Source organism: Homo sapiens, chromosome 17, assembly GCF_000001405.40.
Source record: "Homo sapiens chromosome 17, GRCh38.p14 Primary Assembly".
NCBI classification, from domain to species: Eukaryota; Metazoa; Chordata; class Mammalia; order Primates; family Hominidae; genus Homo; species Homo sapiens.
The window spans coordinates 78032876-78058645 of record NC_000017.11 but is presented as its reverse complement, the minus strand read 5'-3'; the positions used below and the strand labels follow the sequence as shown (position 1 = coordinate 78058645).

Genomic DNA, 25770 nt, shown 5'->3' with positions numbered 1-25770 from the left:
TATGTAATGATATTTTACTTCTAGCCATTGTTGGAAGACACAGTAAGATGTCACTACCCCACTGCTGCTGGTTTAGCTTGGATCAACTGTATAATGGCCTTCATATTTGACTCTAAAATTATCTACATTTCAGTGAAATCTGAGTTCAGAGATGAAATCCCTGGAAGTTCTTCTTCAATCTCATTGTTAGATTCAGAGCCAACTATGAGGCTCCATTACTCACTAAATGGTTTTGTTAATTAATATTCAATGTTCTCTTGTGTGTCTGCAAGTTGGTTTTTAAGTGTCCCAGAATATTATGTCTGAGTATGCGAGGTAATCATGTTGCTGAGTATTTTTAGGATCTGCTTTCATTCCCTTAGAACACACATAAATGCTATGTTTGCACTTTCTCCCTTTCTGCCACATCCCACTAACTGGTAAAACAGCAGACTGATTTTATGACGACTTAATAGCTTTGTATGCACAGCAGAGCGCAAGGTAGCAGGTCCTGCAATTCTGGCTCGCACCAGAGACTGAGTAATTGAGGCAATGTTCGAGGAGTGTCAAGTGCGGCCTCTGGAGCCCTTCTCAGGCAGCCTACAATTTCTGATAAAAAGGCAGGCACAGGGATATTTCTCTGGACTAATACTGTTGTTTTATCTCCAGAATGAACCTGAACCAGGTCCAGACAATCCAGTTTAGGAAGCTATACTGCATTTCCTAAAATACTACCAGTTTTCCTCAGGCTCACAGAAAACTAATTAATATCAACAAGCATAGGACAAAAATGATTGTACTGTAGCATTCGTTCCTTTAAAACAACACACACACACACACAAAAATGTAATTCAGAAATCATATTTTATAAGACAGGAGAGATCAATACCCTTAAGTGGTAATGATCCACAACTTAAAACCCAAACTCTGACATAAGTGAAAATTCTATAAATTCAGCATAGGTCAACCTATGCTGAATAAAACCTAAAAACACCAACTTTAAAAATAGCAGAAACTTCATGAAGTAGTCACAAGTGGAAGGCTTTTGTCTGGGAATCCCAGTAGCTATGGAAAGCTGCGCAGGCATTCAAGCCAGTGGGCAGCACGGCCCAGCAGGTGCTGAGACTGCTGCTGCCCTTGCTGACCCTGACTGCCCAGATGGCACAGTCCCCAGAGAGGAGGGCAAGGGGCTGCCACCGGGGGTAATGCCACTCCTGCATGCTGTCACCTCTATGAAGGGAACTGGTGTGGAACTGTTACTTCTACAGGCTCAAATAATAGCTTGGTCTAACAAGTTTGGAGAGTGAAAGGCTATGATTACTTGTAATTCTTAAGGGTGATGAACTTTGCTCTCACTGCAAAAGAAGGCTTGGTTCATGTCTGAGAGTTAAACATCACAGGTAATACAGGGCAGGAATAATACTCAGTGTAGCCACTTTATGCCAGTGGTAGAAAAAGAGATTAATGTTATAAATGAAAAAAATGAACAAATAACCCCATATGTTGTACAATATACTAAACTTAACATACTTTCAGCATGTGAGCACACTTCCACATGGAAAAAAATTTGTGTAACTTTTTATTTGTCTCTTTTAATTGGTAAAACTAGATTTGCAACTGCTCCTATAGTATTGCTACACCTACAAAGAGCACACGCATGCACAGGCTGCAAAAGTTGCAGGGGAGAACAGAGTACAGAAACACTCTGTTAAGGTGTAGCAGTTACAGCACATTTTTCTTCTTTATATTTGGTGATAATATGTGCAATTTGTTTAAAAAAATCTATAAATATTTTTCATATAAAAGAGAATTATTTTGGCCCTTTTAACTGAACAAGAATGCCTTTCTCAGCATGAAGCTCCCATGTTTTGGCTACTAAAAACAAGTTAAAAGTAGTTTCTGGGCCAGGCGTGGTGGCTCACGCCTGTAATTCCAGCACTTTGCGGGGTCGAGGCTGGCTGATCACAAGGTCAGGAGACCGAGACCATCCTGGCTAACATGATGAAACCCCGTCTCTACTAAAAATACAAAAAAAATTAGCCGAGCGTGGTGGCGGGCACCTGTAGTCCTAGCTACTCGGGAGGCTGAGGCACGAGAATGGCGTGAACCTGGGAGGCGGAGCTTGCAGTGAGCTGAGATTGTGCCACTGCACTCTAGCCTGGGCAACAGAGCAAGACTCTGTCTCAAAAAAAAAAAAAAGTAGTTTCTGGGCCGGCCATGGTGGTTCATGCCTGTAATCCCAGCACTTTGGGAGGCTGAGGTGGGTGGATCACTTGAGGTCAGGAGTTCCAGACCAGCCTGGCCAACATGGTGAAACCCCATCTCTACTAAAAATACAAAAATTAGCCAGGCATGGTGGTGATCGCCTGTAATCCCAGCTACTTGGGAGGCTGAGGCAGGAGAATCGCTTGAACCCGGGAGGTGGAAGTTGCAGTAAGACGAGATTGTGTCACTGCACTCTAGCCCAGGCAACAGAGTAAGACTCTGCCTCAAGAAAAAAAAAAAAAAGTAGTTTCTGGCCAGGCATGGTGGCTCACACCTATGATCCCAACACTTTGGGAGGCCAAAGTGAGAGGATGGCTTGAGGCCAGGAGTTTGAGACCAGCCTGGGCAACATAGCAAGACTCTGTCTCTAAAAGAAAAAGTTTCTAAGGATCACGTATCAAAGGGGAGAGATCCCCCAACAAATGCAATGTGGTTCTAACCTCTGTAGGGTGTCATGGATGTAATATTTTAGAAATGTCAGCAGGTCATGGTATATATTACACATCTGAGACTTCACCATCTCCCTCCCACATATGTACCCTTGGAAAGCTACTTAATCTCCTAGGTCTCATTTGTAAAATGAGGCCCAAGGAGCTGTAAAAATCCAATGAGGTGATCCATAAAAATGCTCCATACATGACTGCCAACCATGGCCAGACCACATTTATTGCACGACTCCAGTGCCAGGCATAGGGCCCTCTGTAGCCTGAACTCTTCCAGGAGTTGGCATTCAAATTGGGACTATCCACTAAGGGTGGATGGGACACACAAGCCAATTTAAAATAGTCATGGGCTGCATAATGACGGTTTGGTCAACTGACTGCGTACAGGACAATGGTCCCCTAAGATTATATATAATGGAGCTGAAAAATTCCCATCACCTAGTGACGCCATACCCATCATAATGTAGCGGAATGCATTCCCCACGTGTTTGTGGTGATGCTCGTGTAAACAAACCTACTGTGCGGCCAGTCACAGCAAGGTCTAGCACACACAACTGATGATGCTGATACAAGACTATGTTACCAGTTTATGTCTTTACTGTACTTCCTGTTATTGGATCTCCAATGGGACAACGTGTGGAGGTGGACAACAGTGATACTGAAGATCCCGGCCCTGTGTAGGCCTAGGCTAACGTGTGCGTTTGTGTCTTAGTTATCAAAAAAGTTTAAAAGGTACAAAAAAAAAGCTCATAGAATAAGAATATAAAAAATACTTTTGTGAAGCTGTACAATGTGTGTTTTAAGCTAAGTGTTACTGAAGAAAGTATCTTTTAATCTTTTAATAAATGTAGTGTGGCCTAAGCGTACAGTGTTCACCAAGTCTACAGCAGTCTACAGTGGTGCGCAGTACTCTGCAGTGGTGTACAGTGCTGAACTCTACTTTGCAGTGGTGTACAGTAGTCCGCAGTGGTGTATGGTAGCGTACAGTAGTCCGCAGTGGTGTATGGTAGCGTACAGTAGTCCGCAGTGGTGTATGGTAGCATACAGTAGTCCGCAGTGGTGTATGGTAGCGTACAGTAGTCTGCAGTGGTGTATGGTAGTGTACAGTAGTCTGCAGTGGTGTATGGTAGCGTACAGTAGTCTGCAGTGGTGTATAGTAGTGTACAGTAGTCTGCAGTAATGTATAGTAGTGTACAGTAGTCCACAGTAGTCTCCAGTAGTGTACAGTAGTCTGTAGTAGTCTGCAGTGGTGTATAGTAGTCTACAGTAGTCTGCAGTAGTCTCCAGTAGCGTACAGTAGTCTGCAGTGGTGTGCAGTAGTCTGCAGTGGTGTATACTAGTCTACAGTAGTCTGCAGTGGTGTATAGTAGTCTACAGTAGTCTGCAGTGGTGCGCAGTAGTCCACAGTGATGTACAGTGCTCTGCAGTGGTATACAGTGGTGAACTCTACTTTGCAGTGGTGTACAGTAGTCTGCAGTGGCGTGCAGTAGTCTGCAGTAGTATACAGTAGTCTGCAGTGGTTTACAGTAGTCTGCAGTGGTGTATAGTAGTGCACAGTACTCTGCAGTAGTCTCCAGTAGTGTACAGTAGTCTGCAGTGGTGTGCGTAGTCTGCAGTAGTGTGCAGTAGTCTGCAGTGGTGTGCGTAGTCTGCAGTAGTGTGCAGTAGTGTCCCAAGCCTTCACATTCACTCACCACTAACTCACTGACTCACCCACAGCCACTTCCAGTCCTGCAAGCTCCACTCATGGTAAGTGCCCTATACAGGTGCACCATTTTAAATATTTTATACCATATTTTAATGTCCCCTTTTCATGTTTAGATATATAAATACTTACCATCGTCCTACAACTGCCTACAGTATTCAGTACAGTAATATGCTGTGCAGGTTTGTAGCCTAGGAGCAACAGGCTGTACCGTATAGCCTAGGTGAGCAGGAGGCTATGCCATCTAGGTTTATGTAACTATACTTTATAATGTTAACACAATGCTGAAATTGTCTGATGACACATTTCTTAGAATGTATCACCATTGTTAAGCTATGCATGACTGTATTAATTCTGTTCCTGGAGCTTTTTTGTTTGTTTGTTTAAAGAAATGGGGTCTCGTTATGTTGCCCAGGCAGGCTTTGAACTCCTGGGCTCAAGCCATCCTTCCACCTCAGCCTCCCAAGTAGCTGGGATTACAGGTGGGGGCTCTCAGATCACTTTCTGCATACCTTTACTATAATGCTAATTAAACTCTATTAAATTTGATATTACTAGCCTGTCCCACTAGACTATTCCTTACTTAGGAATAATCTTATTTTTCTTTCTTTCTTTTTTTTTTTTTGAGACAGAGTTTCGCTCTGTCGCCCAGGCTGGAGTGCAATGGCCCCATCTCAGCTCACTGCAACCTCCGCCTCCTGGGTTCAAATGATTCTCCTGCCTTCACCTCCTGAGTAGCTGGGATTAGAGACATGCGCCACCATGCCCGGCTAATTTTGTATTTTTAGTAGAGATGGGGTTTCACCTTGTTGGTCAGGCTGGTCTCGAACTCCTGACCTCAGATGATCTGCCCGCCTTGGCCTCCCAAAGTACTGGGATTACAGGCATGAGCCACCACGCCCGACCTAATCTTATTTTTCAAATCCCTTCATTTTCCTTCTTCCTGCTTCTCCTTATCCCCCCAAGTACTTTATAAAATGTAAGGGCCTAGAAATATTAGTCATATATTAGTAAACAATTGGAATCACAAATTCAAGTACTCCAAGGAACCAGTCAGTTAACGTAAACAGGCCCAGCGTAAGAACAGCAGCGCAAGCTTGATGATGCTCAGTGGCTACTGATCAAAAGCCTCAGTGTTGGGAACCGTCAGGGGTCGGGGGGCAACGTGACATGGTATGGAGAAAATGCACAGGCCCTTATGAAGGCAAGTGGCTCTGACTGACTGCTGCCATGTGAATCCAATGTCAGACTTTTCAGGTTTCCAAAGGAAGCCAGAAATCTGGAATTTAATATAAAACATTTGCATTAAAAAAATGCCAATTCACAGAAAAAATGTGGGCCAAAAAGGCACATTTGTGGGACTAGGTGCAGCCCACGGACCACTGATTTTTGACCTCTGGTTTAGTGACACTGATGCGTTAGCTGGAGGCTAAAACTGTCTTGAGGATCCATAAAGGATTCCTGATGTGGCAGCCTCAGAGAGGTACACAAGTGAACCACCAAGAAGTCTACGAGGAGGCTGGAGGGCCCAGCTGGTGGGCCAGGGGAGGTCCTGTAGGGCAGTCATAATTGAATTAATGCAGCAGGCAGGACATTCTCCTGTTGAACGCTTATGACAAAAACCAAAAAGGTGCCCAAATGCCCAGGCTGCCCTACACAAGATGGTGATTCCCCAACTCCAGTGGCCCCCGCATGCAGACCTTCTGGGCTTACTGTTTCCTCCCTGCACCATCACTGCCCAACACTACGTATATACTTTAATTCGTGTGTTGTTTGCCACCCTCACTAGATCTAGACCCCTCCATGGCAGGGTTTTGACTGTTTTGCTTCCTGCAGTTTCCCCAGCTACTAGAGTACAGCCTAGTACATGGCAGGTCCCAATAAATTCACTGTGTATGGTGATCTCTGGGCCCTGACATTGCCCAGCAACCCTCCAGGGGCCCCAGTCAAGTCAGTTCTCTGTTCCTGTCCTCTACATGGGCTAATGCATGCTCCCTCTCTACTCGTGCTGCTGCTCCTAGCCAGCCCTCCTCCACTCTGGGCTAGTATTCACACTCCCAGAGAGAAAAGAACCCCAGAAGGTGGCCTTGGCCCTCTGGCCATGACAGCCTGGCCCACCTGTGCAGCGCTCTTTCCTGCTCCTTGCTTCACGAGATGGATGAAGTGCCCTTGTCCTGCTGGACACAGGGATCTCTTCCCTCTTCATTCATTCTCATCTCCACTTGTTCCTTTCTAACAGCTCTGAAACATGCTCACGACTTTGCCACCTTAAAATCTCTCTACTCTGGACCTTGCCCCTCTGGCTGAGAACTGGTCTTCCGTATCTGGGACCTTTTATTGTCCTCACTGGACACTTGGAGCTCTGTGCCTCCTGCTGTGCTCATGGGCATGTCAGTGAACTGACACAGTCATCTGCCAACTTGCCCAAGTTCTGAACCATGTCTATCCTATCTTCTTTGCTCCTGTATCCAAATGGTTACGAAATCTTGGAATCATGCACTGTCATTGCTTTCAAATCCATCATCTCCACCCCAGGCCACCACCGCCACCACCAAAACATTCGCTTGATGTTCTACTGAGTGTGCTTAATATATTTTTTTCTTGAATAGAAAACCACCAGAGGATCCTACTTTGCTCTCACTGGATAATCTTTAGATACAATATTGCACGGTGATAGGGAACTTAAATTATTTTAATGCTATTTGCTATAAAAAACACTACTCGGAGTATTCATGAATATATAATGAGAATAAGCTTTTTTTTTTTTTTTTTTACTTGTAAAGAAACATGAAATACCTTTCCTACCTGGACCAAGCAACGGTGATCGATTCAGCTGAGTACCGGCCTGGTGCGGGGGCGGCGTCTCGACCCTGTGTGTGGTGTTGCTCGTGGTAGTGGTGGTGGTGGTGGTGGTATTGGTCGTGGTACTGCTCTGGATGACCGGGTTGTTTCTATCCCACATGTTTACAGTTTTATTGTTATAGTTGCTTGGGTCCCCCCAAGCTGAGGTACCATCATCAATTTCCATTTTGCGGCGAATGGACGGTGGAGAGGGTTCTTCCCAGCCAGTTGCTTCACTGCTGTCCTTCTGTTTGACCGGTACCGGCCCCCCGATCCACCCTGTTCCTGTCTGTTTCACAGAAGCAGCTCCTCCCCAGTTACTCACATTGTTGTCTTGGGGTTTGCTAGCCCAGTTCTGTTGGGGGCCAGGTTTTAAAGTCTCCCCCCAGTTTGTACCTGGATTGGCCTTTGTATTTGTGCTGTTGCCCCAGCCACTGTTCCCAGATCTCGTGGTGTCATTCCAACCAGACCCTGACCTATTACTGTCAGCATCCCATCCAGATCCATTTTTTTTCCCATCCCCCAAGTGTCCAAGGACAGACGATGAATCTGCCCAATCTCCCCCTCCTGCACTCCAGGCTGGATTTGATCTTTGTCCATCTCCCCAGTGTTGGGATTTGGGCTTTGGAGGCTCACCCCAGGTGGGTGACTTGTCCTCCTGATTTGCGGCCCCACTCCAAGCATGGCCACTCTTGGCAGCAGCAGCAGTACTAACAGCAGTAGAGCTTATCGAGTCCCCCCAAACCCCCGGGCCACTTGGCGCTTTGTTGTTGCTGTCTCCCCAACCTGTGTTTGCTGGCACAGCGGCAGGTGGCGCGTTGACCCACCCAGATACTGAAGAGGTATTTGTACTGTTCATGATGGACCCATCGTTCTTCCCCCCTGAGTTTGAAGCCTGAGTAGCTGCACAACCCCAGGCCTCTGTCCCATTGTCATTTTTCCTTTCAGACCTAGGGGATTCTTCAAATTCCCAGGCAGTGTTTTGCTTTACAGGAGTCTGTCCCCAACCAGTATTAGACAGAACTCTTGGGTCAAGATCATTCCTTGGCAACTGGATGTGCCCTTGGTCTATAATCCCTTTATCTCGCCTTCGGCCTTCTCCCGTTCCTTCCCTCCCAGTGCTTCCTTCATTGTGGTTGCCAGAACCATCACTACTTCCTTCACTTGCTGTAGTTCCAGAAGATGCCGCTTTGGCCCAGGAGTTCATGTGTTCACCACCAGGCTGTACGGTAGGGTTCTGGCTGGTGACACTAGGACTCTCCCACCCTGTTGATCCTTTCCCATTGATGTCACTGTTGGAATGCTGGTTTGGGGGCTTTCCCCATTCCCCATTCACACCGTTAGAGGTGCTTCGGCTGGGGTGGCCCCAAGCTCCTGAATGGATATTACCAACGCCATTGTTGCCACTGCCCCTTCCCCAGGCGAGTATTCCAGGACCAGCAGGAGGTCCTGAATCCCAAGCATTTCCTCCACTTCCTTCCTTTTGCACAGCACTGCTGGATCCATTTTGTTTAGCACTTAATGCTGAGTTCACAGTGTCTCCATTCCCCTGACTGAACCCAGAATTGCTATTTCCTGTGGCAGGGTTACCTGGGGACAGTCCCCACACAGAATTGCTTATTCCTTCAGCACTGCCCCCACTGACTTGAGAAACTGATGATCCATTAGCACCAGGAAGGCCTTGCAGGTGGGGCGGGATGATGGCCCCCATACCAACAGCCATGCCCCAGTTTGGCAGTCCATTTGTCTGCATTGCATTGATAGGGTTGGGTGAAGAGTTCATGGGGTTAGTGTTATTTGGTCCATCAGTGTTAAGGTTCTGAGGTTGTGCGCTGAAAGACACATTCTGAGAAGTGGACGTTTGTGGTTCTGTGCTCTCTTGTGGCAGCAAGTTTCCCCAAGCACCTAAAGTGCCTGTTGGGTTCCCGTTCTGGTTGCCCATATTTTGACCTATGGCACTGACTGGACTGCAAATACTGGAAGGGTTGCCTGTCGCCACGGTTCCTTCATGTCCAAGTACAGGCCAGGCAGCTGGGTTGGCATTAGGATTAAGGTTAAGATTAATGCCAGCATTGGAGTTGGAAGCACCCCAGCAATTCTGACTTCTCCCATCTCCAATCATAGTGTCCATTTTTCCATCCCCACCACTGACAGAGCAGTGAGCCAGGCCAGAGCTGGAGCCTGTGGCTACACCCCACACTCTGGCCGCACTTCCATTACTGTTCGCTCCCCCTGCTCCAAGGGCACTCTGATTAGAAGGGCTTTGGACGAGTGCGCCATTGGTGCCATTATTGCCATTTGTCTTCTTGGTATGTCCAGTGAAGTTGCCCTGGGCACTCCCTGTAGCCATGCTACTGTTCTCTGAGCCACAGTTGGAGGCAGAGTCAGTGTCTGTAGTACATTCTGAGGCAGATTCAGTCTCTGTTCCTGTGATGGAAGGCCACGCCTCCTTGTCAGTCCTATCTATTATCACTTTATCCCAGCTGCAGTTGGCTTCGCTTCTGTAAGTAGGCTGCTGTCCCCAGTGGGAATTTTCATAATGATCTGCCAATCCACTATGACTGAGATCTGAAAAAGATGAAACAAAATTCAAAATTAGATTTTCTACTCATTTGTCAATGAATCAACTGTTAACTAGTCTTTGGGGAAGCTCTTTATTTCAAGTCTTCAAATCTGAATGACAAACACTAAAAAAATGACTTAAAGAAAAAAGCTATTTGTCTTCTTAATAGATCCCATTTTAAAGAGCGTTAATGTTTTTAAAATTATATCAATTCTTACCACTACACTGTACTATTATTCCCCCTGGAGAATACTCACAATGCACGTTAGCACATCAGCATCTCTGAAAGCATCTGTAGTAAAGGCAGCTTTGAAAGATAAGTGACTTTGCAACTCCTATAAATACAGAGACTGAGAAACACTGGCAATGACAGTAAGTTCACGTAGAGTTTTGAATAAAACTTGTAGTTCTCTTTAAGACCTCTAATTAGGTTACAGTATTATATAGAGGCGAAACATGGCTTTCAGTAGAAAAAAATTGTAAATTGCATTGCAGAATCATAACAGAACCAATATTTGGGGTGGGGGAAGTGGTGACGGAAGGAAAGAGAGAAAAGACATATGAGACAATGCTATCTTATGTTATCAAAAATACTAAGGATTAGAAATGTTTAATTAGCTGTATACTACTTTATCTGATCTTATCTGCAATTTGGTTTATCACTGTCTCCTGCACATTCATAATAAAAAAAAAAAATCTGTAGCTCAAGGACATCACTAAAAGAAGAAAAAGAAGGAAGAAGAATCTCAGCCCCACAAGTGCTATCTTTTTGGATCTCTAAAGATTCTCTCAATCCTTGTTTTCTATTTCTTTAGAGCCTTTTCTTTGGAGATCCCTAGAATAACTTTATATGCCATCTTCTTATAGTATTTAACTCTTCGGGTCCTTTTAAAGAATCCCCTGTTTGGATCTACATTTTATTTCCTATGACTTTAACAATTATTTGAGTATTTCCAACATTGCAGTCAAACTTATATTTCGATCAACTTTTTGGCAGACTTTATTCCAAGTATGTATCACTAAAAAATAAAGTAAAAGAAATGTTAAAAAAATAATTTAACCCAAACATACAACAAACTCACATATGTGATTTAGAAATCCTTGGTGAGTTTCTCTAAATACTACAATATACAAATAAACTGCAATAAAATATTTTCTTCTCTTTTAGATCCTTTTAATTATGTTCTCTTCAAATTTATTTTAACAAGAAAAATCGTATGGACAATTAAAACATGAATTTCCCACATAAATTCTCTTTTAAAGTTTGATGGAGCTAAAGGAAAAAAAGGAAGTGTGCAAAAAAAATTAGCATTAGAAAGACCATACTAAAGCTAATATCAACCTAAAAGAGATTTTTATTGCCTGATTTAAGAGTAATGTAATGATTTTAGAATTATGCTCTAGGTGATTTCAAAGTAGGTACGTAATTCCAGGTGAAAACTACAAAGGAAAAATGAAGACAGGCAACAGAAAACTTTAAATGTTGAAACTGCTATAAAATGACTAGGTTCTTTTCACTGCCAATTATTAGGGGTTGGCTCTATAACCCTGGTTTATGACAATTTGGTTTTGCACATACTCTAAAAACTATCTAATATAATAACTAACTAAAGAGATAAATAAGCCATTCCTCATTTAACACAGAAAATAAGACCAAGTTAACACACAGAGATTATGGCTTGTTGCCAGCAAATATTACCACATTTCATTTTACCATCAGTTTGGGTTCCCTCATGGACAGGTTGTGCCATAAGGCAGGCTGCCTCTTGACTAAGACAGCACTCACTGCAACCCACACCGAGAAAGCAGGGGGTTAACAACCTGGCTGACCAATGCATTCTTTTCCATATGTGAGGTGCCATTCGAATACACAGTATTATTGGTTCCATTCCACAACAGTCACACTGTAAAATGATCTGCCCTTTGTTAATGGTCTACTTTGAGGACTTGAGGATTGCTCAGCCCCCAATTTGACAGGTTCATACTCAATTATATGACACGTTTGAAAGAAGGATAGCATTATAAGCTGGTGGCTAATAAATGCTGTTGGACAACTGTCTAGCCACATGAAATGAAAGTAGATCCCTTATATCGTATACATGCCAGATAAAGTAAAGAGCGAATTAGGAAAAGCAAAACTTCTTAAAGCTTATTAAGGAAGCAAAGGAGACCATCTCTATGACCTTGGACATTGTATCATCTTGTAGAAGACATGAAATACGTAAGACATAAACAGGTGATAAATTTGACTATGCTAATATTAAAAACATCTATATAACAAAAGATATCATATAATGAAAGCTAAAAAAACAAGCCACAGGCAGGGAGAAGATACAACAGATAATGTATGGTTATCAGCTTAAAGAATTCCCGGCCAGGCGCAGTGGCTCTCGCCTGTAATCCCAGCACTTTGGGAGGCCGAGGCAGGTGGATCACCTGAGGTCAGGAGTTCGAGACCAGCCTGGCCAACATGGTGAAACCTCGTCTCTACTTACACAAAAATTAGCCGGGTGTGGTGGTGCACGCCTGTGGTTCCAGCTACTTGGGAGTTGAGGCAGGAGTATCACTCGAACCCAAGAGGTGGAGGTTGCAGTGAGCCGAGACTGTGCCACTGCACTCCAGCCTGGGCAACACAGTGAGACTCCATCTCAAAAAAAAAAAAAAGAATCCTAAAAATCGGTAAGAAAGAGGCCAACAACCCAACCAGAAATGGGAAAAGGATAGGAACAGGCAATTTAGAAAAGAGAAAACTCATAAGCCATTAACATATGAAACAATAATCAACCTCATTAATAATCAAGAAATGCACTTTAATGTCACACTGTAGATGAAAGTGACACAACACTACAATTTTTGAATTGTGGTTCCCTCTGGGGGTGGGATGGGGACCAGAATGGGGTTAGAGGATGATACCTATAACATTTTTAAAATAGAGAGCCCTGAAGCAAATATGGCATGATATTATGTTAAATCTCTATTGTGAACACAGTTATATTATTTTCTATATACTTTCTTCTATTGAAAAAATATTTTCAAAATTTTTAATTTTTATGTTTAAATGTGATACAAATCAGGCGGCAGAGCAGTCTGATTAAAAACCCATCTGATCCCTGAATTAAGTGTCTAATTTCTGAAGGTGAGTTCCTTGAGGGCGTGGCAAATATCTTTTTAGTTTTCCATTCAAAATGCTTGCCACATATAGGCAAACAATATATGCTTCCTGGGCAAACAAAACCATACATGCATAGTGCTACAATCTGAGTTCTAGCTGAAGTCACCAATCAGCTGCACTTGTACAGCCCAGACTGCTTTGAACAAGCACGTCCATCTTCTGAGGGAACCACTTCCACTACAATGACGCCGCCTACTCAGACCTTCCCGGGCTTTGAGGTGTAGATCTCAACTATGCCACAGCAAAATAACCACCAATGGGGCAATACTGGCAGGAAGCAAAGTCACTTCTACAAAGGCCAATATCCATCCCCAATAGCTGAAGTGCCCTAAGGATGGCCATATAGGATGCCATAAGGATGAAGTCATGCCTGTTGAGTTTACATATTGGGTATTTCTAGAACCTTTTCCATTAAAACAAGAAATAAAACTTCCCTCTGACTGCCCCTGTTCCAAGCACCCTCATGTCTTGACTGGATTACTGTAAATAACTTTCCAACAGGTCTCTTCCCATGCCCCCTACTGCCCCACCCACAATAATGTGCTCAACACTGCATACAGTGCTCTTTTCCAAATGAATGCCCAGTGGGTCACCAATGGTTGGGTCTCTTTTGAGGCCATTCATATCATTCTTTCTCCTGCTCTGTGCTCCAGACAGTTCCTTGAGGTGCCATCTGTGTCCTGCCCTCCCAAAGACAGGGCTGTTAAAGGTGCCATCCCCTGCCTGGGCTCAATGTCTATTCTTTTTTCCCATCTCAAATCCATGGACATTTAATTTGGGACGTTTTTGTTCCCTAGTTAGGACTCCCTCATACATTCATTGTAACAGTCTTCCTTTCAAGTCACTTAGACCAACCAGGGTGGCAAACAATTTCTGTAAAGGGCCTAATAGCCAAAATGCTTTAGGCTTTGTGGGCCATATAGTCTCTGTCACAACTACTCAATTCTGCTGCTGTGGCACAAAAGCAGAATGAGTGTGGCTGTGTGCCAACAAAACTTTATTTCCAAAAATAGGTGATGGGCCAGATGTGGCTCATGGGCCCAGAGCTTGCCAACTCAATTGAAACAATAACTATTATTGAGTGCCTCCTATATGCAGCTACTGTGCTGGGGACACAGCCATAAACAAGATGAACGACTTCTTTCTCTCATGGAGCACACATTCTAGTGTGAGTCATCGTGTGACTGGCTGGTTCTCCCTCTAGGCTGTAAACACCATGAAGGCAAGGCGTACCTATTCTGGCTCTATTTTTACTGCCAGTGTTCAGCAGAGTATCTGACAGAGAAGAAGCAGTAAATAAACATACATTGAATGAATGAATAATTCTTATCAATACTTGAAAGCAGTTTGCTAGTAATATAAATGATGCTTAAATTTTCAGTCTTGAAGGTAAAGTTAAGATTAAGCTTAGGTTGCCATGTTGACTAGCAACCAACTTAACTGAAGTTACTTGCAAAAATACTGGGTTATCTATTCAGAGAAGTTAGTACAAGAGGAACTGATAGCTCAAAATCTTTTTTAGTTAGAAAAAATTACAACTGAGACTATGAATCTATGTTGAAAACATAGATAGGGTTTGATAATAAGTTATACTACCTCAATCCTAGGTATATACCCAAAAGAAAGGAGATCAGTATATTGAAGAGAGAGCTTCGATGTTTGCTGCAGCACTACTCACAACAACCAAGATTTGGAAGCAACCTATGTGTCCATAAACAGATGAATAAAGAAAATATGGCAGATATACACAATGGAATACTGTTCAGCCATAAAAAGAATAAGATCCTGTCATTTGCAACAACATGGATGGAACTGGAGGTCACTATGTTAATTAAAATAAGCCAGGCACATGAAGACAAGCTTTGCATGTTCTCACTTATTTGTGGGAGTTAAAAACGAACATAATTGAACTTATGAAGATAGAGGCTAGGAAGGGTAGTGCGAGAGTGAGGGGTGGGGAGAAGTGGAGAAGGGTTAATGGGTACAAAAAATAATCAGAAAGAATAAATAAGACCTAGTAATTACTAGCATAACAGGCTTACTATAGCTAAAAATAATTTCACTGTCCATTTAAAAAATACATAAAAGAGTATAATAGGATTATTTGTAACACAATGGATAAATACTTGAGATGACTGATACCCCATTTATCCTGATGTGATTATTACACATTGCATGCCTGTATCAAAATATCTCATGTAACCCATAAATATATATACCTTCTATGTACCCACAGAAATAAAAAAAATTATAAAAAATATGTTTTACTATAGAAGTCAATTTGGAACAATGCTATTTTACTTAAGAAGGAACCAATCAACCAACCAACCATCTCTTTTCTCCCACCTCTATAGCCTCCTTGCACTTCTTGGGATAGGCTGCAGCCTCGGGGCCACACTGTGGCCTGGTACATCTTCTGTCACAGGAGAGGAGCAGGGAGTGTGCCCAGCCCAGCCCAGCCCACTGAAGTTTCAGGCTGCAGCTGCTGACATTCCACCTTTGGCTACCATTATGAGACATACTGCTATTCTTTTTTCCTTTTTTTCCATACTTCAGCTGCTCTCTTGTTCCTTACTTCTTGGTTCTTCCACCTCATCAAATGATCTGGCTCTTCACAAATTAATTTTACTGAAAATTCAATGCAGGTTCACGGAGAAAGAGAAAAGCACCTACTACTTATAAGCTCTTTTTTGAAGGGTAGGCTTAGGAATCTCTCTGAAAATTATACATACAAAACCCCCAAACCGGGGACTGTATTGCATACTGAGCTAATTAAAATATGCTTTTAGTTCTATCAAATCCCTGAATGTCTCCTCTTCCTCATCATCACCACCACCACCATCACCACTGTTACGACCATCACCAACACCGTCATCACCAACACCACCACCACCACCATCAGCACCACCACCATGATCACCACCAGCATCATGATGACCACTACCATCATTGTTATCTCCACCATCATCACCAACTCCATCATCACCATCACCAATAGCACCATCATCATCACCACCATCACCACATATTCTTTTAATCAGAATACCAGGATTTACTCCAAAAATGAAAATGCAGTCTAAAAGGTTAAATTTCGTTAAAAAAAAAAAAAAAATCTGTGAAATGACCGAATTTTAAGAGCAGCCATTTTGAAATGAATGAAAACTCTGAAATGAACCAAGACATCACATACTTTATACCATTTCGGAGTTTGAAGTATTTCCATACACGTCGGCTTAGCTGACCCTTACAAACAATGTCAGTTTTACAGATGAAGAAACAGGCTCAGAGAGGCTAAGTGGCCAGGGTTTGTAACTAATAAACAGTAAGGAATGAACTGAAATCTGAGTTTTCAGAATATAATCTAGTGCTCTTCCCACCACAACATTCTATTATCAAATAATTTTTCCCCTAAAAAAAGCCTTAAAAAGAAAAAAGAAATGAAGCTCATGTATAACGTTAAATTCTCTTTTCTTCTGCTGTTAAGTGGTTTACAGTCTATAAATAGGTGTCTATAAAAATCTAAGCAACGTAACTGTCTTAAGTGATTAAATTAAAAAGGATTACATAATAGCATGGTTGAAAGAGAAAAGCTTTCCTTTGTCTTTAAATTCCAAAATGTTAGCATATAAAGATAAAATTTTCCTGGAAAATATTTAATGAAGAGCTTCCAAAAGCCATAGTAAGCAAAATTTTAATTAGGTATCAGATTTAATCAGATATGAAAGTGTGGACAAGATTTACTCAGAGGTGTGCAGAATGCTGTACTGGTACTAACACTGACAAATAGTAAATGTGTTCATTCTTTATCATCACAGTCCTTTTAACTGAAATAATATGTATTATAAAAACTAGTTCGCAATGCTTTCAACAGTTGATAGTATACGTTTACTAAGGCTTACTGATACCACAAATCCTTCGCTGCTTGGTTTTCAGGGGCAGGATAAATGCTACAACAGCCTTCAGCTTTTGAAAACCAAAGATGCCTCCCCCTCTACTGCATTTACTGGGTGTAAAGATCTCAGGGAGAAAGTACTTTGAATTCAAAATTCCATTGCTGGACAGACTCCCAAACATTTCATCTGTCAACTACTATAAATACAAGGAATTATGAAACGCAGAACACAGTACAAGATTTATTGGAAACACAAATAGTGTCCAAAAGAATAAGTTTGTTGCCTTGTGTTTTTCTTCAAAACGGCAGTAAAATGAGATTGCTTCCTCAAGGTTAAGAGTCTATTAAATAAAGAAGGAAACTGGGGGCAAAGGAGGCTTGCTTCCTAATTTGGGAAGGCCTGCCCGTGCCAGCCCAGCAGAGAGAAACCACAGTAGGGAAAGCCATGGGTAAGTCTCTGCTCCGTGCGGCAGATCTTTAGCAAGCAGCTCTTTTCCAAGACGCCATTTTATCCAATCTGAATTGCAGCCAAGAGCTTAGGGACGCCGGGCTACCACTCACACGCTGGAATGTTATGTCACAAACGGACTGGCGAGAAGCAGCCACTATTTGTTCCGTGTTTGTTCCGTTTCTCCTGCTCTACGAGGGGCTGACGGGTGAGGAAATACCTGCAGACGGTGCCGCCCAACCCTCCTAGGAGACGCCACCTCGCGTGCACAGCTGCCTCTACGCCTGCATCGAGGCTCGCCTGGCCTCTCGCTACAACATGTCGGCTGGGTACAGCGAGAGCCGCCTCCTGTAGAGCTGCCAGGGAGCTGCCAGGAAGCTCCCGGGGCCAGTCTGCGTCCGGGCCACCCGCGGGCGCCCGCGGCCGCAAGCCGGGCAGGGCTGGGCAATGCCCTTTCTACTCCAGGAGGCACCCGACTCATCCCCTTCAACTAGGGGCGGAGGCATGGACGGATGGGATTTTACAGCTTTGATTATCTAATTGCAGCTGACACTAAACCGATCTTCCTTCCTCTTTAAATTCTTTCGATTGTCACAAACATTTTCACTTCAGGACCCAGTTACAATTAGCATCACAGCCACTTTTCTTCTGTGTTTTTGAAAGTCAGCCAAAAGAATAACGGCATTTTGCCTATTGGCTGCAGGCGAATAAACTGCGGCTCTCTCATCCTGCCTTTGTTTTCCGCTCCTTCTTTCTCCCTTTTTCTAAACAACTCCTAAACATTTGGCATGCCAACACTAGCTGTAATATTCTAAATGAGCCCCATATGTAAACTGGCAAGTGTCCAGCTTCTTAATTACTTTCCTGCCTCTATCTAAAAAAGATCTAAGTAGCAAACACTGCCGTATATTAATCAAAGCCTCTGTTTATAAATGTACAAAGCAGCCACCAAAACAATACATTGTTCTGCCTTTGGCACAAGAACTTATTATTATTATTATTTTTTAAAGATAAAAGCTCTCAAGTGTTTCAAGCTGGAGCTATCCTGCAGACTTGCAAAACATAATCTGCACTGAACCTGACATGATCAGGTGGCATTCTTTGGAATCTCTGGAAATCACTGTACGTACTAATACTCATCTTCCCAGTTAAGATCTGTTGCTATTTGGCTAAATATACTCCCATCCAAATCAATACATGAATTTACAAATCTAGTTTCCCCTGTATTATTTTATGAGAAGGCCAATGTTTCATTTGCTGATAACAGTCTTTACCTAAAGAGAACCTGGAACCAGGGCTGGGAGGCACCCTGGCCTACCTGTCTTGCAGAAGCCCTTCCACCATTGGCAATAACTGACTATCTCTCCTTGGCTACTGCCAGTGAAGGGGGAAGGAATAAAAGTTCTTCCAGAAATCTGAAAACCCTGCCTACCACCCTACATTTCCGCCACTCTTGTTCCACCTCTGTCCTCTGGGGCTGCCTGGGGGCAGCGGGCTCTCAGGACAGCCCTTTGACAGCTGAAATGCCCACAGGCCCTCCTCCTCTCGGGCTTGTTGTAGGCTCCCCTCTGTTGTTCTCCCAGTCCTTAGTGGGCATTTCTAGGCCTTTATTGCCCTGTCTGCTCTGGATGCCCTTGTGTGCAAGCCTGTGTTTCCCACGAGGGATGGCAGCCACAGGATGCTGCCTGACAACAGCCACAGCATTAACCACTGGCAGGAGGGTCAGCTGGACGCTGGAAAGCTCCATTTAGAATTGTCAGCCCATTACAAAATTGGTTTCACTTGACTGAATTTCACTTCAACATCAGCATTATCGAATATTAAAAGCATCTAGGACTTATTTTTGCATGCAAGTATTAGAAGTCTTGGTTACCTTCTAAAATGGGATACTTGTTGACATCAATAACGCTACAAAACCAATGAAGCTTCTGCCCAATGCCCAGGCCAACGTGGGTGACGGCAAGAAGGTGACACCAAGAACAGAGGGGATGGCTGACCTGGTAAGAGGTAGGGAGTGGGGGGGGGGGGCAAGATTTGAAATTGCTGTTCTGTGGGGACCTGCAGCCTAGCAAAAGTTCAACTGGTTCTCAAACACAGGCTGCTCTTTATCATCACAGGATAAAGTGAGATTGCTGGTCACTGGAAGACTAATGCTATCTACACCTGTGCCTGTTCTGTAACGAATACAGTCAACTCTGTTTTTGTCCCTACTGCCTCTCGACACGTTCCAACTTGCCTGTTATTAATTCATGCCACTGGGCAGAGGACAAATGCAGAGCATTCAGTCGTCAGTAAAGAGCTGTGCTCTAGGTGTCTGCAGGATGTACTACGTCATATTACCCAACATTTTGATAAATCCTGCCACATGCCTCCTTACATTCCGACCAACAGCACACCAGCGTCGCCTTTTCCCACACTCTCGCTGGTCGCCTGCGGTGATTACAGGGTCTTGAGAAGATTAAATGAGTTAATATGTGTAAAGCAATTGGATCTTGCAAATGATAAGCACTCAATCCATAGTACTGTGTTATTACAATAGAGGAATATTAACAAGATTTAAAGTTTTGACAATTTGGTAAGTGAAAAGTGATCTATCAATGCTGTTTCCATTTATCTTTTCCCTGATTACAAGGAAATACTTTTTTTTTTTTTTTTTTTTGACACGGAGTCTCGCTCTGTCGCCCAGGCTGGAGTGCAGTGGCACCATCTCAGCTCACTGCAAGCTCCGCCTCCCGGGTTCACGGCATTCTCCTGCCTCAGCCTCCCGAGTAGCTGGGACTACAGGCGCCCGCCACCACGCCCGGCTAATTTTTTGTATTTTTTTTTTTAGTAGAGATGGGGTTTCACCGTGTTAGCCAGGATGGTCTCAATCTCCTGAACTCGTGATCCACCTGCCTCGGCCTCCCAAAGTGCTGGGATTACATGCGTGAGCCACCGCACCCAGCCACAAGGGAATACTTTCAACATACTTAGGACCCATTTGTGGTAGTTCTATGATCTTCCCGTTCACATTCTTTGCCCATTCTTCTATGGGACTGTTTTTCTTTTGATTTGTCGGAACACTTGGTATTTTTGAGATATTTATCTTTTGCTATTTACACTGTAAACATGTCCTCTCAGATTTTATTCATATTCATGTACAAAACTTTTAAATTTTTATACACTCAAACTTGTCAGTCTTTCTTTTCATGGCTTATGATTAAAATTTTATCCCAAGATTTAGAAAATACTCTCTTACGTCATCTTTCTGTAGTTCTTATATTTGTCTTGCATATGGCTTTCTAGCACTCGATATTGATCTGAACCACTATTTTCTCAGTGATCTGCAACTCTCCGTGTATACATCTGTTTTTCCCCCTGCTCTCTTTATATCATAGTTCCTGGATCTGTGTTTACTCCTGCCCTAGAAACACGCTGTTAAAATTACTAGAGGATCACAGCTCAAAGTGATAGCTCATTATGCTTTTTCAGTCTCTTGGCTCTTCTATTCACGTACATTCGCTCTTCTAGATGAAGTTTGGAATTAGTCTATCAAGTTCCAAAAGCAACTTGGAGGAAGAGCTTTAAATCTGAATTTAATTTGGCTCTATTACCAAAAGAAGCTTTTATGCTGGTTTATTACTATTACTTAGTAATACCAACAGCCAACTTCTGTAGCCTTACATCTTCCCACTGCCCCCCGCCACAATGAGCCTGCAGCGCTTACTGAGAGGCTTTACAACTGCGGGTCTGCGCTTTTCATGCATGCAGGTCACTCCATCTGCGACGCCCTTTCACCTTCTTTGCCCAGCACAGCTAACTTGAAACTCAGCTCATATCACCTCCACCAGAAAGGCTTCCTTGCAGTCCCCTATCCGTAGTCTGGGTTAGTTGTCCTTCCCATGTGGCACTCTATGCTTATCTCTGTTACAATACCTTGAAGTGGCTGACTTACTTATTGGTTATTCCAAAACACTTCACTCATGAATTGTCCATCCCCAGTGCAGGGTATGTGATGTTTGGTAGGCATTCAACAAATGTTCTGCTCAATGAACAAATGAAGACACACATGACAAAACCACCGTTCTGAAAGGCTAGCATCTTCTTCCCTTCTCAGAGCTGTGCAAGCCGAGTGTGGCACTGCTGCCTGAACATTCTCATATAGGAAGAAAAGGAAAAAGAGTGAAAAAGTGTGAAGCCAGTACACTAGTTTGTCTAAGAAATGGCAAAATGTGTGGTTGCAATTTTCTATAGAAGCAAGCTTGCAGATTAATGTAAATCAAAAGGTGAATTATGACAAAATGTTTTAAGAGTCAGATTAATCTACTATTTACATCTCGTTAGGAAGCATATTCTATATAAAGAAAAAGAATAATGAAATAAATAACTGTCAGACTAAGTCTCTTTCCATTCTTTCTTTCTTTCTTTTTTTTTTTTAATGGAATCTTGCTCTGTCACCCAGGCTGGAGTGCAGTGGTGTGATCTCAGCTCACTGCAACCTCTGCCTCCTGGATTCAAGTGATTCTCTTGCCTCAGCCTCCCGAGTAGCTGGGGTTACAGGCGCCTACCATCACACCCAGCTAATTTTTGTATTTTTAGTAGAGATGGGGTTTCGCTATGTTGGCCAGGCTGGTCTTAAACTCCTGACCTCAGGTGATCCACCTGCCTCGGCCTCTCAAACTGCTGGGATTACAGGTGTGAGCCAACGCGCCCGGCCTATGTAAGTCTCTTCTCTAATTTCGCCCGTTGCCTTGTACTGTAACAGTATATAAATATACATTTTATCTATTCTTACACAGCTAAAAACGCTACAAATTCCACTTTTAACTCTTTAAAAACTTTCCCATTTCTGCTCCTCTATTGTTTAATTTTATCTGTAAATCCTCTCTGTTTACTGGAATGGACACGTAAGTTTTCCATTAGCACAGTACAGGACTATAACACTTACTTCCATGGGAAAGCAGCAGGCAACTGGTCAAATACTCAGTTATGGGGAAACAAGGATGCCCACAAATCTCCACCGTGCAGCTTTTTAAAACTATGACAAAGGTGACTCAAACTCCGTCAATTCCTTCCACGAATACTTCACTTTCTTTAGTTTTCGCTAAGCACACTAAAACCTGGGGGGAGGGCACAAAGAGTTTACGTACTAAGACACCTGGGAAAAACACAGAAATTCGTGTGCGAAGCTGAAAGAACTCCAAGCTTCACTTTGCTCTTCATCAGAAATGGTGTACTGCTAAATTCCTAAGGACGCCTCCCTCAGCGGCCCCCTGCTTGGTTAATTCAGTCTTAGTTCTACGGACCCAGCATTTGTACTTCTTTTTAACTGAACCTTACAAGTTAGAGAAATGTAATCATGAATAAAACTCTGTTTTTTTGTTTTAATGTAGAAGTGACCGTAGGAGTCACTTCCACATTAAAGTGACAGATTAAAGTACAATGAAAATCTATGTATTACTTTTAAGAAAGTTGATAAGAGCTTTTATTTCAAACTGTATCTAAAAATACTTTCACTGCGACCAGAAATCTGGTTACTCCTCGGGAATACACCAATAGAATTTCACCTGGATGTGAATTCATTAAACAACTATAATATGAAAAAGAGAACTCTAGGAAGGACAAGTGAAACTTCAAAATATACACAAATCACAGAGTGATGAGAAAGCTTTACTGCACTGTTTTAGAATTTAGTCAGTCAAAAATTTTGACTATTTTTTTGAAACAGGTCTTGCTGTGTTGTCCATGCTGGTCTTGAATTCCTGGGCTCAAGCGATCCTTCTCCCTCAGCCTGTCAGGTAGCTGGGATTTGTGAACACTCTGCTTCACAATGGTGTTTCAAAGATGGGTACATATTTGTTGTATATTTCAAAGTCTCACCAGTCTCACACTAACAACTATCACCTGCATTACTCAACACCTACTATAAGCAAGACCTTGTGCTGCATATGAAATAAATAGCTCATCTTCAAAATTAGGAATCTCTTCATTTCAAAGATGAGTCAAAAGTACAGGGAGTGAAGGTGATTTGGTCAAGGTCACACAGGAGGTGGTGGGTCTGGAAAGTGGATTGGGCCTGTCTCTTGACCACTTTGCCATACTGCCTCCATGCTTGCTGATGCTCACCTACAATCCCTGTGCCAACACCGTAACAACATGGGACAGTGTTCCTGAAAGTCCTTCCACTGACAAAATCAAACAAAGTCATTGGAATGGTGTCTGAGTCAGAAATTTAAGGGAAAGGACCTTAGAGATCATGAGAGGTTCAAACCTCTCATTTTAGATGAGAAATGGAAGGACTAGTTGGTGGCATAACAAGTTCTAGTTTCCAAGTCCTCACCTATGGTTCAGAGATTTTCCCATTCTGCTTAGTCATAGAAAGCTCAGAGACGTTATTTATTTTTTCCTGTTGCCCAGGCTGGAATGCAGTGACTCGATCTTGGCTCACTGCATCCTCCACCTCCCAGACTCAAGCGATTGTCCCACCTCAGCCTCTTGAGTAGCTGGGACCACAGGCACATGCCACCATGTCTGGCTAATTTTTGTACTTTTTGCAGAAAGGGGGTTTTGCTGTGTCACCCAGGCTGGCCTCGAACTCCTGAGCTCAAGCAATTCACCCGCCCAGGGCTTCAAAGTGCTGGGATTACAGGCATCAGCCACCACGCCCGACCTCAAACATTTTCTTCATAGGATATTTCCAACTTAGTTTAAAGGCAAGACTCTTATGACCTAATCAGCAAAAAATATAGGATATACAGTATACAGTAAGTGCAAAGGTGTTATGTTACAAAGTGGGCATATTACACCTGTGAGAACAGAATGGAGACAGAGCTGCTTGGGGAAGCCTCACGGGTGCGGGGGGACAATGAACTGGAAGTAAAGTGGGGGTTGGGGGGGCAGCAATTAAGCATGTGTGCATGGGAGGGACTTGACAGTGAGCATGGCACACTTGTGAGACAGTAAGAAAGCAATCCCAATCATAATAGAAAGTAGGCCATGGAGGCTGGGGGGTGGTGGCTCACGCCTGGAATCACAGCACTTTGGGAGGCTGAGGCAGGCGGATCACCTGAGGTCAGGAGTTTGAGACCATCCTGACCAACATGGTGAAATGCCTTCTCTACTAAAAATACAAAATTAGTCAGGCATGGTGGTGGTCGCCTGTAATCCCAGCTACTCAGGAGGCTGAGGCAGGCAGGAGAATCACTTGAACCTGGGAGGCAGAGGTTGTGGTGAGCCAAAACTGTGCCATCGCATTTCAGCCTGGGCAACAAGAGAGAAACTCAGTCTCAAAAGAAAAGAAAAAAGTAGGCCATGGAGAGTAGGCGGGGAAAATGTTGGGGAGACTCGGCTATGAAGGGCCTTCACAGCCAGAGAGAAAAACGGAGAGTTTGTGCATTAGTAACTAGGTGACCACGGCAGGTTTGTGAGGGGACCCCTCGTCAGTGAAGGGTGGTGAGTTAGAAAGATGCATCTGGCTGTGATACCAGAGACTACTGAGGAAGAGATGAAATTGGTATAAAATGAAGATTTTTGTTTGGGAGTCAAGAATGAATTTCTTATTTTATGCTCACTACATAGATTGATCAATTTTTTGAGATGTTTTCAATCCATAAAATGATTTATGTTCTTCAATATGTGTGTGTGTTTATATGTATATTTATATATATACTCACACACCTTTTTTTTTTTGAAACGGAGTTTCACTCTTGTCACCCAGGCTGGAGTGCAATGGCGTGATCTCGGCTCGCCGCAACCTCCACGTCCCAGGTTCAAGCGATTCTCCTGCCTCAGCCTCCCGAGTAGCTGGGATTACAGGCATGTGCCAACATGCCCAGCTAATTTTGTATTTTTAGTACAGACTGGGTTTCTCCATGTTGGTCAGGCTGGTCTCGAACTCTCGACCTCAGGTGATCCGCCCACCTTGGCTTCCCAAAGTGCTGGGATTACAGGCGTGAGCCACTGTGCCCAGCCTACAATATATATTTTAGAAGGACTATGAACTAGGAGTATTTTCTTAGATAATGTTATATTTACAGAGATAAATATTTAATGAGGGAATATTATATCATAGCAAGATTTTATTGACTTAATTGCTTATTTTCTACTTATCTAAGAAGATACCAGTAACATTCTGCACCAGCAGCATTTGATGAGAAAACTGATGCAATACTGTCAACCAATCACATCACAACCAGATACAACCAGAACAGGCAGGGCTGTTACATTTCTTATTCAGTTTTTCAAAATAAGACCCTTAAATTAAAACACCAAGCTATTTAGGTCTAACTATAGAATCCTTGTCTCTGTTAAGATTTTCCCAAGGACCATATTGGGAAAGTAGCATGTTTGATTGTAAACTGCTGGCAACTAAATAGATGAGACTATATTCTTGGTCAGTGAATATATTTTATCTTTTCTGCCTTGCTTTTTGGTGACAATCATTGACCTACATCCCCTCTACCAAGTGGTTAGCAGACGAAAGC

General features: G+C 43.1%; 1 protein-coding gene across 21 annotated transcripts in view; it reads right to left on the bottom strand.

Annotated features, from left to right (window-relative positions):
- Positions 1-25770, bottom strand: part of TNRC6C (trinucleotide repeat containing adaptor 6C) — a 151279-nt gene that overhangs the window by 50190 nt on the left and 75319 nt on the right. For 9 of the 21 annotated variants that reach the window (NM_001395509.1, NM_001142640.2, NM_001395510.1 and 6 more), the window contains one exon: positions 7198-9801. In NM_001395509.1, the coding sequence (NP_001382438.1) occupies positions 7198-9801 (2604 nt within the window). Of the gene's footprint in view, positions 1-7188; positions 9802-17528; positions 17737-22235; positions 22408-25770 lie in introns of those variants that run through there. The other 12 variants (XM_047436496.1, XM_047436485.1, XM_006721996.5 and 9 more) reach the window with 3 other exon arrangements.